The sequence below is a fragment of the Homo sapiens genome, chromosome 2 (genome assembly GCF_000001405.40).
Source record: "Homo sapiens chromosome 2, GRCh38.p14 Primary Assembly".
Lineage (NCBI taxonomy): Eukaryota > Metazoa > Chordata > Mammalia > Primates > Hominidae > Homo > Homo sapiens.
Window position 1 is genome coordinate 61,787,126 of NC_000002.12, and position 15,721 is coordinate 61,802,846.

General features: G+C 44.5%; 1 protein-coding gene and 1 long non-coding RNA gene across 2 annotated transcripts in view, besides 3 other annotated features; one reads left to right on the plus strand and one right to left on the minus strand.

Moving 5' to 3' along the window:
• The first annotated feature begins 6,367 nt into the window (after window positions 1–6,367).
• On the plus strand, window positions 6,368–11,589 carry LOC105374760 (uncharacterized). Its single transcript, XR_940139.2, has 2 exons — window positions 6,368–6,482; window positions 10,891–11,589. It is a non-coding gene; the product is annotated as an uncharacterized LOC105374760 (long non-coding RNA).
• Window positions 6,469–6,568: an enhancer, noted in NCBI's record as "active region_15837". NCBI's record gives its function as "activates an Ori minimal core promoter by ATAC-STARR-seq in GM12878 lymphoblastoid cells {active_cell/tissue: GM12878}" and the evidence as "EXISTENCE:reporter gene assay evidence [ECO:0000049][PMID:35858748]".
• Window positions 6,469–6,705: a biological region, named in NCBI's record as "ReSE screen-validated silencer GRCh37_chr2:62020762-62020965".
• Window positions 6,502–6,705: a silencer, noted in NCBI's record as "fragment chr2:62020762-62020965 (GRCh37/hg19 assembly coordinates)". NCBI's record gives its function as "represses an EF-1alpha promoter that drives an FKBP-Casp9 reporter gene in an ReSE screen in K562 erythroleukemia cells {active_cell/tissue: K562}" and the evidence as "EXISTENCE:reporter gene assay evidence [ECO:0000049][PMID:32094911]".
• FAM161A (FAM161 centrosomal protein A) overlaps window positions 13,115–15,721 on the minus strand; it is a 53,821-nt gene continuing 51,214 nt past the window's right edge. The window contains exon 9 of the transcript XR_001738972.3: window positions 13,115–13,445. The gene's annotated coding sequence lies outside the window, so the exon portion shown is untranslated. The remainder of the gene's footprint in view (window positions 13,446–15,721) is intronic.

The window sequence follows — 15,721 nt, forward strand, 5'->3', positions numbered from 1 at the left end:
GTCATAAAAGGCACTGGGACTTCCTTCTTGCTTGCTTTCTCGGATCACTCACTCTGGGGAAGCCAGCTGCCATGTTGTGAGGATGCTCAACCTTGGAAGTGGATTCTCCAGCCCCAGTAAAGCCTTCTGATGATGACAGCCCTGGTTGACATCTTGATTGCACCCCGTGAAAGATGCAGAGCTGGAACCACCAGAAGCTAAGCTGATCTCCTATTCCTGACCTACAGAAACTGTGAGATCATGTGTTTGTTGTTGGATCTACTAAACTTTGAGGTAATTTTTGATGCAGTTAATAGATAACTAATGCAGGAGGTTGGAAAAGGAGAGTCTTTTTTTTTTTTGACAGAGTTTTGCTCTTGTTGCCCAGGCTGGAGGGCAGTGGCGTGATCTTGGCTCACTGCAACCTCCACCTCCCGGGTTCAAGCAATTCTCCTGCCTCAGCCTCCTGAGTAGCTGGGATTACAGGCGCACATCACCACACCCACCTAATTTTTGTATTTTTAGTAGAGGCAGGGTTTCACCATTTTGGCCAGGCTGATCTCGAACTCCTGACCTCAGGTGATCCACCCGCCCGCCTCAGCCTCCCAAAGTGCTGGGATTAGAGGCGTGAGCCACCGCACCCAGCTGTAAAAGGAGAGTCTTAAACATGCTTGTGGATTGAAAAGAAGGAGCCAGTGGAGACCAAGAGTGAAGATCACACAAGGAGAGGGGAAATCATAGTTAGGCCAAATTCTGGAGGAAGTTTCTAGGGGGTAGGATCATCAGTAAAGGGTGAAGTTATTTTTGGAAAGGAAGAGTGAGGATCAGAAAAATTTTCAGATTGGAAAAATGGAAGGTGATATCAAGTTCTTGGTTCCTTCATCAAAAGAGGAGATCACGTCTTCTGCTGAGATAAAGGAACCTCTGGGATCAAGAGCTCCGAGAGAGCAGAAAAAATTGGAAGAGCTACTGTGTGATATCACATAGACAATCAGATAAAGCAAAGAACACAATTCTCTCCAGCTAGGCTTAGCACCCTGGGAGAGTAAGCTGAGAAAGCAGACAGTGGAGCTTACCCAGGGGTGGGGATTGATAAGGCAGATATGAAAGATCAAGTGGGCAGAGGATTCTGAGATGCTAATGTAATTAAAGTGGCTGGGCATGAAGTCTAGACAGGGCACAAGGGCACCTGAAATTATAAGGAGTAATGAACTGAGAATATAAAAGGGCGGAACTTCCACAGCAACTATAATCTGTATGACACATCTCACGCTTTATTCATAAGCTCCCTTAGTATCATGAACTTTTTTAGCATGTATGCTTAGTTGCCCCAGTGAGATAATAAACTCAGGGTAATGACCTGAGTTCATACATTTTGTACCCTCTCAGAAGCTAGCAGTTTGCTTCATAAGGATTCATTTATTTGTTGAATCAATGAATAAAATCATTCTAGCATTGTGTGTGTATGTTCTACTGTTTTTTTCTTCCTTCACAATAAGCATCTGATTGAAGATAAAGATCTGCTCCTGTTAGATAGATAGTCAAAGTATTCCATCCCTGCCTCTAAGAGCCAGGGTTTCTGGATGTTTTTAAGAAGTATTATATAATTATTTAAAAAGGAAAAATACCCGATTGGCTAAAGACAATAAGCCTAATTATGCCTATGTGAAGCGACCTTGAAATAAACCTTTGGTGATTTCTTTTCAATCTGACAAAAACCAGAATAAAAGTGAAAAGGTTTAGAGGGAAATAGGAGACCAGCATTCTCCTGGAAAATCAGGGGAAGTGGAGGCCTCTATTTAGAGGAATCTTGCAGAAGCTTAGATCCACAGTGGGGGCTCTGAGAGGAGTGTCTGGTTTTTGAAGATTACTAGTACAAATGGCTCCTTAGCCTGAGTGGGCATCGATGTATCCTTTACCTGGCACACATTTTCTGTCATTCTGTAAAAAGTAGACCTGTTAAAGTCTATTAAGAAAAAATTGAAAATAAGTTTTTAAACTACTAGATAGAGTCATTGACTGTAATGATATATAGGTAGTCCTTCCAATTTTACCACCTGCTCTTCTATGTATTACACATTCACACCCCAAGCCACTTTTCACTCAGTTCAGGTTTTTCTATATCAGCTGATGAATTGATATTTTGAACTACAGTATGGTGATACAGCCAAAAGTTTCAGTTCAATTTTGGCAGTCACTAGCTTTGGTGATCAGTTTGTTTATGCAGTTATTTGAATGTTCGATTGCATTTTGCTCCTATTTTATTCATAAAATGAAGGGAAGTCAGCAGGCACAATGGCTCATGCCTGTAATCCCAGCACTTTGGTAGGCCAAGGCAGGTGGATCACCAGAGATCAGGAGTTCTAGACAAGACTGGCCAACATGGTGAAAACCTATCTCTACTAAAAATGCAAAAATTAGCCAGGTGTGGTGGCGGGCACCTGTAATCCCAGCTACTCAGCAGGCTGAGACAGGAAAATCGCTTGAACCTGAGAGGCGGAGGTTGCAGTGAGCTGAGGTCACACCACTGCATACTCCAGCCTGGGTGACAGAGGGAGACTCTGTCTAAAAAAAAAAAAAAAGAAAAAGAAAAGAAAGAAAGTAAAAACGAAAAACCGAAGGGCTGATACCAATGATGGCAAGTTTAGTTTTCATACACTTAGTATGATTGAGATAGAAATCATTTTACTATTAAAAAGAAACAGAATTCAGCTACAATCAGATGCTGATTTTCCTCATTGAAAAGGAAAAAAAAAAATCATTAGAAGAACACATACAAAGTGCTGGGATTAAATTACCAAAACCTGTACCTGAAACTGAGGTGTAATGAGAAATTTTATGCTGGGCACAGTGACTCACACCTGTAATCCCAGCACTTCGGTAGGCTGAGTCAGGAAGACCGTGTGAGCTCAGGAGTTGGAGAGCAGCCTGGGCGACATGGTGAAAACCTGTCTCTACAAAAAAAATACAAAAACTAGCTGAGCATGGTGGCGTGAGCCTGTATTCCCAGCTGCTTGAGAGACTGAGTGGGAGGATGGCTTGAGCCCTTTCGGAGGTTGCAGTGAGCCAAGATCACGTCACTGCACTCCAGCCTGGGCGACAGAGTCTCAAAAACCCATCTTAAAAAAAAAGAAATTGAACCCTCAAGGCTACTTCCAAACACAATGCCTTAATCATATTCAAGAGAATAACGATTTTTGCATGTTGGCACAACAGAGATTTCCATAATGTAACTTTAGACAGCTGTTTTCTCTTAATTAGTTTAGTAGGCCAAATATAAAAGAGTTTGTTTATGCAAACATTTTACAAGAAGTTGTGAAATCATGACACTGTGTTGTTGTGTGATTGATAAGGTCTTTATGCATTTATTTTGAAGCACAAAAGACTACATAAGTGGATGTCACAATGGGCAACTTCTTTTCTTCAGTGCCTCCATCAAATGCATAGAAAAGAGGCATGTTCAGCAAACCTGGATATTTCCATAGAGATGTAGGGCAGAAAATGCCAGGATAAATTTTACAAATCAACTAAACTGATAGTGCCATAAATAAGAACGGAGAAATGAAAATTACATATTTCTCAAGTCTCATACCAAATGCAAATGATGCTTTTTAAGTGCTTTAAAGACATCCCACTGGAAAATAGATCATGGTTTTATTTGCCTTCTTCCAATTAGAAAGATTGCTGCTTCATTCTGTATGTTGGTCCCCAGAGAGCTTACAATGGTGAGAGCATGGAAGGCAAAAGAATAGTCATCATCTGGAAAGCAGCTCAAAGTAGATGTTGTACAATGGAGCTCAGGCAAGTTCACAGCATCGTAGGTAAAGGAACAGGCTTTACTGGGAAACTTATAAGCTGGGGGTCTGCAAGAGAAGGCATGGGTGATATGCTGGTACCAGGGCTGTTACAGTAGGTAGCTAGTGAGGTATGGGCAGGGCAGGAAAGGGCTGCCCTCACACACACACCAGGAGTGTCCACGGACCATCAGGTGATGGTCAGGCAATTGTTAACTGTCTTTCTAAAGTAATAATTGGTCACAGCCCCCGCCAGGGAAAGGCAGTCTCCTAATAACTAGAAAATGCTTGGCCGGGCCTGATGACTATAATCCCAGTTACTTGGGAGGTTGAGGCAGAAGAATCACTTGAACCCAGGAGGTGGAGGTTGCAGTGAGTTGAGATGGTGCCACTACACTCCAGCCTGGGCAGCAGAGCGAGATTCCGTCTCAAAAAAAAAAAAAAAAAAAAAGAAAGAAAGAAAGAAAGAAAAGAAAAGAAAATGCCTGAAGGCTGGGCCTGGTGGCTCACGCCTATAATCCCAGCACTTTGGGAGGCTGAGGTGGATGGATCACTTGAGCCCACGAGTTCAAGACCAGCCTGGGCAACATGCCGAAATCCCGTCTCTACAAAAAATACAAAAATTAGCCGGAAATGGTGATACACACCTATAATCCCAGCTACTTGGGAGGCTGAGGTGGGAGGATTGCTTGAGCCTGGGAGGCCAAGGTTACAGTGAGCCGAGATGGCACCACTGCACTCCAGGCTGGGTGACAGAGTGAGACCCTGCCAAAAAAAAAAAAAAAAGAAAGATAAGGAAAAGGAAAGGAAAGGAAAAGAAAGAAACTGGTGATCAGCAGCTTCTCGCTAAGATCTCAGGAGTGGGAAGAAATAACATAAGACCCTGGAAGCATGCCAACACATAAAACCCCAAGTCAAGAGTTTAAACAGGCCGGGCACAGTGGCTCACGCCTGTAATCCGAGCACTTTGGGAGGCCGAGGCGGGCGGATCACGAGGTCAGGAGATCGAGACCACCCTGGCTAACACAGTGAAACCCCATCTCTACTAAAAAAATACAAAAAAAAAAAAAATTAGCCAGGCGTGGTGGCAGGCACCTGTAGTCCCAGCTACTCAGGAGGCTGAGGCAGGAGAATAGCATGAACCACGGAGGCAGAGCTTGCAGTGAGCGGAGATCACGCCACTGTACTCCAGCCTGGGTGACAGAGGGAGACTCCGTCTCAAAAAGAAAAGAGTTTAAACAGTGCACTTGGTCTCTCAAGTCGCCTGCTTGGCCCTCTTCCAAGTGTACTTTCCTTCCTTTAGTTCCTGCTCTAAAGCTTAATAAACTTTCACTCCTGCTCTAAAACTTACAACAATCTCTCCTTCGGCCTTATGACCCTCATTAGAATTCTTTTCACCTGAGAAGGCAAGAATTTCTTCTGCAAAGACAAGCAGATGTTGTACAACGGAGCTCAGGCAAAGTCACAGCACTGTAGATGCAGACCTGCAGGGAACTACCACCACTAACAGAGTGTTCTGTTGGACAGGTCATAGTGAGCATTCCAATGAAGGCACATTCCTCCCTTTTTGTTCTCTCTTTTTCAAGACCAAAACTTGAACATTCTTATCCGTGGGGTCCACATAGACAATGTGGCATCAGGCTGTCTGGATGTAGATGCCAAGAGTCAGGAGTTATCTGAGAAGGCCAGTTGCCTCTTATCTGGAAGTCTTGGGTGCCCACTGGAAGTTGCAGCCCTTCCAGCGGGGAGGGAGAAAGTCATGGGAAGCTGAGTTTGAAAGAAACAGGAAGGCACTGGGTTACAGCTCTTTCCTCATCCTGGAAGCCCAGAGTCATCTTCAGACTCTACTGTTTCACCACTGGCACTGGTCAGTGGCATCATCTTTAATATAAAAAGCCATAAAGGGTCCCAGTGTGATGGCTGATGCCTGTAATCCCAGCACTTTGGGAGAGCGAAGCAGGAGAGAATCACTGGAGCTCAGGAGCCGGAGACCAGCCTGGGCACCATGGCGAGACCTCCATCTCTATAAAAAAAAAATAAATAAAAAGTTAGCTGGGGTGCTGGAGGGCGCCTGTAATCCCAGCTACTCGGAGATTATCTTACCACTGCACCCCAGCCTAGGCAACAGAGTGAGACCCTATCTCAAAAAAAAAAAAAAGTCATAAAATTTAGGATTCTATTTCTATGAGCATTTTAAGATGCCTTCTTCTTGTTCGCAGCTCCTAGCACCTTTTATTTTATTCTAGTTTAAGCAAAATTTAAATATTTTTAAGGTTGGCGGTTAAAATAACGAGGTCAGGAGTTCCAGACCAGCCTGGCCAATATGGTGAAACCCCGTCTCTACTAAAAATACAAAAATTAGCTGGGAGTGGTGGCGGGTGCCTGTAATCCCAGCTACTCGGGAGGCTGAGGCAGAAGAATCGCTTGAACCCGGGAGGCAGAGGTTGCAGTGAGCCGAGATCATGCCACTGCACTCCAGCCTGGGCGACAGAGAGAGACTTCGTCTAAGGAAAAAAAAAAAAATGTAAATATTTGTGCCTTCTGTCCTCTTTGGAGGCTGACACTAACTCATTGCCACCTGCTGGAGAAGAGAAGACGTGCAGCCAGACACCTGCCGCCTTGTCAGGCCTGTGTCGCCGCCTCCGCAGCCCGAAATCATCCTGCCCTCCAAGGCACCGCCCTGATGCTCCAGGTGAAGGCTGAAGAATGGTATGTGCGGTGGGCTCGGGCAGAGGCGGGTCCTCGCCCTTTCCATTCGTGTGAAGTGTGGTGTGTGTGACCTGCACCCATCCCTTTACTGTTGGGGGTGGGCACCCCGGCGAGCCGCAAAACAGCAGGCGGACTCCCCTACTGGAGAGAAGCCGGGGAAGTGCAATGGTAAGAGAAGCGGCGGCCACACCTGCTGCTGTGAGGATCTGAGCAGGGTTGGTTTTCTGTTTGTGCGCGCGCGCGCGCGTGTGTGTGTGTGTGTGTGTGTGTGTGTGTGTTTTAATTATACTTTAAGTTCTGGGATACATGTGCGGAACCTGCAGGTTTGTTACATAGGTATACATGTCCCATGGTGGTTTGCTGCACCCATCAACCAGTCATCTACATTAGGTATTTGTCCTGATGCTATCCCTCCCCTAGACCCCACCCCCGGACAGGCCCCGGTGTGTGATGTTCCCCTCCCTGTGTCCATGTGTTCTTATTGTTCAACTCCTGCATATGAGTGAGAACCTGTGGTGTTTGGTTTTCTGTTCTTGTGTTAGTTTGCTGAGAATGATTGTTTCCAGCTTCATCCATGTCCCTGCAAAGGACATGAATTCATCCTTTTTTACAGCTGCTGTTTTTTTGTTTCGTTTTGTTCTGTTTTGTTTTTTGAGATGGAGTCTCGCTCTGTCGCCCAGGCTGGAGTACAGTGATGCGATCTCAGCTCACTGCAACCTCCGCCTTCAGGGTGCAAGCGATTCTCCTACCTCAGCCTCCCAAGAAGCTGGGATTACAGGCTCCCGCCACCACGCCCAGCTAATTTTTTTTTTTTTTTTTGTAGAAGCAGGGTCTTACTTTGTTGCCGAGGCTGGTCTTGAACTCCTGGCGGGGGTACTCCGCCTGCCTCAGCCTCCCAAAGTGCTGGGATTACAGGCGTGAGCCACGGTGCCCAGCCTGGAGCAGCTTTGCTGTGTTTCTATAGCGTGTGAACAGGTGAAGTTTACTTATTTAGACTAATGTCATATGACCCTAGGAATAAAAATTAGAGAAAGCAATTTGCAAGCCTGCTCTTATAGGTATAAAATTAGGCCTATAAGCAAGAGATTTGAAAACTCGTTCACCACAGACCACTGACATTTTTCATGGCTCCAAGAAAGTATTTAGATGTATTAAATACCTAAGTTGTTTGTTTCAAGAATATCACTAGGGCTGCTGGCCGTGGTGGCTCACGCCTGTAATCCCAGCACTTTGGGAGGCTAAAGTGGGTGGTTCACTCGAGGTCAGGAGTTAAGAGGCCAGCCTGGCCAATATGGCAAAACCCTGTCTCTACTAAAAACACAAAAATTACGTGGTGGCTGCGCATCTGTAATCCCAGCTACTCGGGAGGCTGAAGCAGGAGAATCACTTGAACCTGGAGTTGGAGGTTGCAGTAGGGGAACCTGCTCAGGGAAATTGTTTTTCAAATCCATCCACTTCTTTTCTTCCCAACTGAGTCCTAGTTCAGGGAACCACACTCTCTCCCATGGATCTGCCTCTCCCTACCCTGAGGGGTCTCTGCTTCCAGGCTTGCCAGCATCTGAGCCATTTGACAGCAACTAGAATGATCATTATAAAATGCAGATCTGAGTATGTCTTTGCCCTGCTTGAAAATCCTTCAATGGCTTGGTGTGGTAGTGCACACCTGTAATCCCTACTATTTGGGAGGATGAGGTGGGAGGATGGCTTGAGCCCAGGAGTTGGAGGCTGCAGTGAGCTATGATTGCCACTGCACTCCAGCCTGGGTGACAGAGTGAGGACCTGTCTAAAAGAGAAAGAAAGAGACAGAGAGCGTGAAAGAGAGGTGGGAAGGGCAGGGAGAAGAAAGAAAGGGGGAGAGAGAGACAGAAAGATGAGAGAAAGAAACAAAGAGAGGGAGGGAGGGAGAGAGGGAGAGAGGGAGGGAGGGAGGGAGGAAGGGAGGAAAGAGGGAAGGAAGGAAGAAAGAGGAAGGGAAAGAAAAGGAATAGAAGGAAGGGATCCTGTCATTGTTATGGAGTCCAAACCCTCTAATAAGTTTATGGGGTCACTCTGGGGCTGGCCCAGCCTCTTCTTTTAACCTGGTGCTTGTGCCATGCGGCCTCCCTTTCTCAAGCACTATCACTTCTGGGCCTTCATACACACCCCCTTCCCTCATGCAGTCACTTTTGGAGGAAAAGGTTTTTTTTTCCTTTTTCAGGCCTCAGCTTCCTTTTGGAAGAGGCCCCTAGTCTCCCTGAGACTGGCTGGGTTCTGCTTCACTCTCACAGCCCAGCCCAGCGTAGCCCAGTCCCACGGACCATTCACAGCCCATGAGAAGTTGGGTCCTCTCTCCATCCCCTTACACTTCAGGCTCCCTGAGGGCAGGACCGGGTCTTGTTGACTTTTGTATCCCAGTGTCTAGTGGGCCTGGTCCATAATAGGTGTTTAGAAACTAGGAACCTGTGGCCGGGCGCGGTAGCTCACGCCTGTAATCCCAGTACTTTGGGAGGCCGAGGCGGGTGGATCACCTGAGGTCAGGAGTTCGAGACCAGCCTCAACATGGAGAAACCCCATCTCTACTAAAAAAAAAAATACAAAATTAGCCAGGTGTGGTGGTGCATGCCTGTAATCCCAGCTACTCGGGAGGCTGAGGCAGGAGAATTGCTTGAACCTGGGAGGTGGAGGTTGCGGTGAGCCAAGATTGCGCCATTGCATTCCAGCCTGGGCAACAAGAGCAAAAAACTCCGTCTCAAAAAAAAAAAAAAAAAAGAAAAAAAAGAAAAAGAAACTAGGAACCTGTTCATCAGTGAGAACACATGGACACAGGGAGGGGAACAACACACACTGGGGCGTGTGGGGGGCGCTGGGAGAGGGAGGGGCTTAATACCTAGGCGATGGGTTGATGGGTGCCGCAAACCACCATGGCACACATTTACCTATGTAACAAACCTGCATGTTCTGCACATGTATCCCAGAACCTAAAATTAAATTTAAAAAAAAATATAACCCATTCATGTTGCATGAATAAGTGAAGTGGCATATTTGAAACATTTTTAATTCCCAAGAAAAAATGTGTGTGCTATCAATTTTATGGACTAAATTAGAATCAAATTCTTTAAAAGTAGGTTTTCTGATAAAGCAGAAATTCCCAATTTACTGTCATGGTTTGATTTAAAAAAAAAAAACTGATGTGAGAAATGAAATTAAAATTTCGGCCAGGTGTGGTGGCTCATGCTTGTAATCCCAGCACTTTAGGAGGGCAAGGCAGGAGGATCACTTGAGCCCAGGAATTTGAGACCAGCCAGGGCAAAATAGCGAGATCTTGTCTCTACAAAAAATAAAAAATAAAATAAAATGTTCCCCCAAATCTGTTATAAATGAGATAAGACTCATGAGAATCATTCAACTCTTTCTTTTCTTAGACCTGACTTTCTCAATAGAATATATATTACTTAACAATGAGAGTTTTTACGAGACTAAAGTACTATTCTGAAAAATAGGCTGGGCGCGGTGGCTCACGCCTGTAATCCCAGCACTTTGCGAGGCCGACGCAGGGGGATCACGAAGTCACGAGATCGAGACCATCCTGGCTAACACGGTGAAACCCCGTCTCTACTAAAAATACAAAAAAAGTTAGCCAGGCATGGTGGCGGGCGCCTGCAGTCCCAGCTACTTGGGAGGCTGAGGCAGGAGAATGGCATGAACCCGGGAGGCGGAGCTTGCAGTGAGCCGAGATCGCGCCACTGCACTCCAGCCTGGGCGACAGAGCCAGACTCCGTCTCAAAAAAAAAGAAAGAAAGAAAGAAAGAAAAATAAGTGTGACTTTGCACTGATTAAATTTGGCCATAGTTAATTAATCCATAATATTTGATATGGTTTGGCTGTGTCCCCACCGAAATCTCATCTTGAATTGTAGTTCCCATAATCCCCACGTGTGATGGGAGGGACCCAGTGGGAGATAATTGAATCACGGGGGTGGTTAGTCCATGCTGCTGTTCTTGTGATAGTGAGTGAGTTCTCATGAGATCTGATGGTTTTATAAGGGGCTTTTCCCAATTTGCTCAGCACTGCTCTTTCCTGCTGCCATGTGAAGAAGGATGTATTTGCTTCCCCTTCCACCATGATGGTAAGTTTCCTGAGGCCTCCCCAGCCATGCGGAAGTGTGAGTCAATTAAACTTCTTTCCTTTTGTAATTACCCAGTCTTGGGCAGTCCCTTATAGCAGCATGAGAATGGACTAATACAATATTCTTTCCTATTAAGGAAAACTTTATTTGAATAAAGTTGTAGAACACTTTTTTTTTTTTTTTTTAAGGAGTCTAAAAGCAGGGCAAGTTTAAATTCTGGACCTCCAAACCAGATTTCAGAAAGACTTAATTGTGCCAAAATGATCTTATTGTTAACAGGGGTTGTTTGTCCCTTCATTCTAGGGGCTCTCAAACACATCAAAGCCTGCTAAGTCTCCAATTCTCCCTGTGAAGCAAGACACCCCTGTGTTCAGTGGCATTTGGCAAGGATCCTGAGGTCACAGCCTGGTTTTGTGATGTGGTGATAATGACTCTAAGTAGTGAACGCCAAAGATTTTATATTCTGCCTGCAAATCATGATGGGTTCTAATGACACAGCATATAAAAGTTCTCAAGTATTGCTTTGCCACCTCCACTGCTCATTAACTTAACTTGGTAGGAGTTTCTTGATGGAAGACAATCAAACATTTTTATGAATGAGTCACAAATACTATCACACTGATTCTTTGGCAAATATAATTCTTATTGTTTTATAAGAAAACAGTCATCACCTGCAATAGACTGATGTTTGTGCTCTCCTCACCCCCAACCAAATTTATATGTTGAAATGTTGAAATTCTAACCCCTAGTGTGTATCAGGAGATGGGACCTTTGGAAGGAATTAAGGTCATGAGGGTGGAGCCTTCATGAATGGGATTAATGTCCTTACAAAAGGGGACCCCAGAGAGCTCTCTGGCCCTCCTTCTGCTATGCAAGAATACAGCAAGAAGATGGCTGTGTCTGAACCAGGAAGTGGACCCTCAGACACCGACTTTGCTAGAGCCTTGCTCTTAGACTCCCCATCCTCCAGAACTATGAGAAATAAATCTGTTGTTGAAGCCACTCAGTCTATGGTATTTTTGTTACAGCATTCTGAACAAACTAAGACATCATCTTTCTTAGTTTTCCAGAAATAAACATGTTTTCCAAGGACAGAAAAGGACAAAAGAAGAAAGCAAAAGATACCTCCTGGTATTCTCCTGGTAGGAATTTTCCTCCAGCTACAAAAACATTAGTGTAGTGGGCTGAACAATGATCCCCTAAGATAGCAGGTCCTAATCCCTGATATCTTTGGAACCTGAAAATGTTACCTTATTTGGAAAAGGCTCTTTGAAGATGTGATTTTTTTTTTTTTTTTTTTTCAGATTTCTTTCTAGATGGGGAGATTATCCTGGATTATCCAGGTGGGTCCTAAATGCCATCACATGCATCTTTGTAAGAGATAGGCAGAGGGAGATTTGAGACAGACATGGAAGAGGTAATGTGAAAACAAAAGCGAATATTGGAGTGATACTTCCACAAGCCAAGGAATGCCAGCAGCCATCAGAAGCCAGAAGAGGCAAAAAGAATGAATTCTCAGCTGGGTGCGGTGGCTCATGCCTGCAACGTCAGCACTTTGGGAGGCCAAGGCAGGTAAATGGCTTGAGCCCAGGAATTCAAGACCAGCCTTGGGCAATATGATGTAACCCTGTCAGGAGGTCAGGAGTTCAAGACCAGCCTGGCCAATATGGTGAAACCTTGTCTCTACTAAAAATACAAACGTTAGCTGGGCGTGGTGGCACATGCCTGTAATCCCAGCTACTGGGGAGGCTGAGACCCGAGAATTGCTTGAACCTGGGAGGCAGAGGTTGCAGTGAGCCGAGATCATGCTACTGCGCTCCAGCCTGGGTGAGAGAGTGAAACTCTGTCTCGTAAAATAAAATAAAATAAAATAAAATCAACTGGACTTCAGGGAAACAGGTCTGTAGCAAACTGCTCAAATCCTAATGCAATGTTGTAACCAGAGCACTAACAAAAACAATCATAATGCTGATAAAAAGAAAAATATATATATATATATATATATATATATATATATATATATATATGAGCCCATTCTATCTGTGCTTGCACGTGCACCCACCTTCATTGTCAGTCAGCCTTTGCAGCATCAAACCGTTGGGCTCACACTGCCTCCTCTGAGATGTAGACACGTGAGGGAATTAGAGATCATCTTCACTGGGGAAAAAAAGGCTTCTGGAATTAAATGAATGATATGTACACGTAAATTCTCCAGCTGCACTTTTACCAGATAATTTCACTTTGGGGGAAAACTCGTGGTCCTTAAAGTCACTATTTTGCCACTACTTGCACAAAAGGAAAGTATTTCTTCAGGATTCATTTTTTTCCTTTAAGATCTTCATAAATTGCTTCAAAATATTAATGTGCAATGAAAAATAGCATAGAAACCAAAGTGACTTCCATTTTATGCTGTCCTTAGTGCCCTAGTTACCAATTTACATGTGACCTATTATTACAGAAACATATGTCATAGAAGAAAGAACCGTGTTCAGGAGGTTAGTCAGGAGAAGATTTTGTGTAGCAATGATCTTGTTACTTGGTTTTATTGGAGCTGTACAAAAGGCACAAAAATGGAAATACTGAATGTATCAGTCAGCATTGCGTCTGCATGCATGTAAACAGAGACCCAATTACCATGTCTTTACCAAACAGGGATTTGTTTTCCCACATGGTCAGGATTCAAAGGTGGGCAGGCCAGGCTGCTGCAGCTGCTCTAGGGACCCAGGTTCCTCCTAGCTCCCGGTACCGTCGTTAGATTGTTGCTTTCATCTTCATGGTGGCAAGACAGCTCCTTGACCATCAAGCATCGTGTCCATGAGTCAGGCAGGAGGAAGAAGGGAAGGACAATGGGCATGTTCCTGGAAGCACCAACAAGCCACTGTTTGAGAGCTGAGAGTTGGCCAGATCATGTCATAAAGTAACCCCAACTACAAGAGAGGCTGGGCATTCAATATTTTAAGTGGGTAGACTGTGCCCGAATAAAATTGGATTCTGTGAGTAAATACAATGGGAAAATGGCTATTGGCAAGCAGCTGGCAGTGTCTGCCACATTGGCATAAAATGTGTCTTAAAGATGCTCATTATAAATCTGATATTTATTTATTTTTTTGAAATGAAGTCTCACTCTGTCACCAGGATGGGAGTGCAGTGGCGCAATCTCAGCTCACTGCACACTGTATCTCCCTGGTTCAAGTGATTCTCCTGCCTCAGCCTCCCAAGTAGCTGGGATTACAAGCGTGCACCACCACACCCAGCTAATTTTTGTGGAGACGAGGTTTCACCATGTTGGCCAGGCTGGTCTTGAACTCCTGACCTCAAATGAACTGCCTGTCTCAGCCTCCCAAAGTGCTGGGATTACAGGTGTGAGCCACCGCACTCAGCCATAAATCTGCTATTTATTGAACTCAGAAATTTCTTAGGAGGCCTTAGGGTTGATGCTCACGGGAAACAATTTTCCTCTGCAGGGAAATCTTAAAGAACACCACTTTAAAAATTACTGGATTGGCCAGGCGCAGTGGTTCATGCCTGTAATCCCAGCACTTTGGGAGGCTGAGGCGGGCGGATCATGAGGTCAGGAGTCTGAGACCAGCCTGGCCAACATAGTGAAACCCGGTCTCTACTAAAAATGCAAAAAATTAGCTGGGTGTGGTAGCAGGCGCCTGTAATCCCAGCTACTTGGAAGGCTGAGGCAGTAGAATCACTTGAATCCAAGAGGCAGAGGTTGCAGTGAGCCAAAATCATGCCACTGTAGTCCAGCCTGAGCGACAGGGAGAGGCTCCGTCTCAAAAAAAAAAAAATAGAATTACTGGATTAAGTTCTGCAGATGCTTTTGAATAATGTTTTTTGGTTTTTTTGGTTTTTTTTTTTTTTTGAGATAGAGTTTCGCTCTTGTCACCCAGGCTGGAGTGCAATCGCACGATCTCGGCTCACTGCAACCTCTTGTGTTCAAGCGATTGTCCTGCCTTAGCCTCCTGAGCAGCTGGGATTATAGACACGTGCCACCACGCCTGGCTAATTTTTGTATTTTTAGTAGAGGTGGGGTTTCACCATGTTGGCCAGGCTGGTCTCAAACTCCTGACCTCAGGTGATCCGCCTGCCTCAGCCTCCCAAAGTGCTGGGATTACAGACGTGAGCCACCGTGCCCGGCTTGAATAATGTTAATAAGGGATTTGGATAATGCTGCTAGAAGAACTCTAGGAATGTAATACAACTTTAAAAAACAAAACAAACACAAACTTCTATAATTTGCATTCTCCCACATCTCTTCATTTGTAAAATGTATTACACTGAATCAAAACACATGAGATACATAAATCAGATTTAATTTTCAATTAGAATAAAATTCCTGATCTATTCTCTGGGTAAAACTTATTAATCCCTAAAAGTTCTCTTTAAAATGAACTGTTTGTTATAGCACATTCCCTAAAAACAAAAGTACTGCATTTGACTTCAGGAGAGCTAAGTGTGAGTGTCAATTCTTCCATTTATTAGTTGGTGACCGCAGGGGACATAAGACCTACCCAGGATGTGCTCCCACTTTGTTCCTTCTCTGGAGCACCCCAATCTTGCTCAAGTATCTCCCCATCCCATACCTAGGAGAAGCTGATCTCACCTCCAGCACCATAGGTAATCCGCCCTCCCTCCAGTGATTTGGGCAGAAATGGGTGTTAGTTATTATAAGTTGAGATTCTAATTAATAATACTAACGTTGAAAAAATTACTCATCTCTTCCACATCCCCACATTCTAATCTATTAAAACAGGGATGATGCTCTTGGCTCTATTTAACATAATCACCGTAAAGTGCTTTTTTATTTTGCAAAATGGAATATATTCAGAAGATGGTATTGTGTCAAAAAGAAATAGAAGTAAGTGGACTAGCTTGGGACATTTCCTATAAACTGTTATTGTTGTATTTGCAAATTATGGAAGCTATTTTCTTTTAAAAACTGTTTCAAATGTGTATATTCAAATGAGTGTCAGTTACTTTGAATTAGTCACGTTGTGAATTTCTGCATGTATTCATTCAGTCATCCTCCTATGCACCAGGCACTATAGTTGCTACGGGTACAGTAATTCGCAAGATGGTCGTAAGAGGTAGCAGGGACTCCTCTTAGGGGCCTGCCATGCACTTT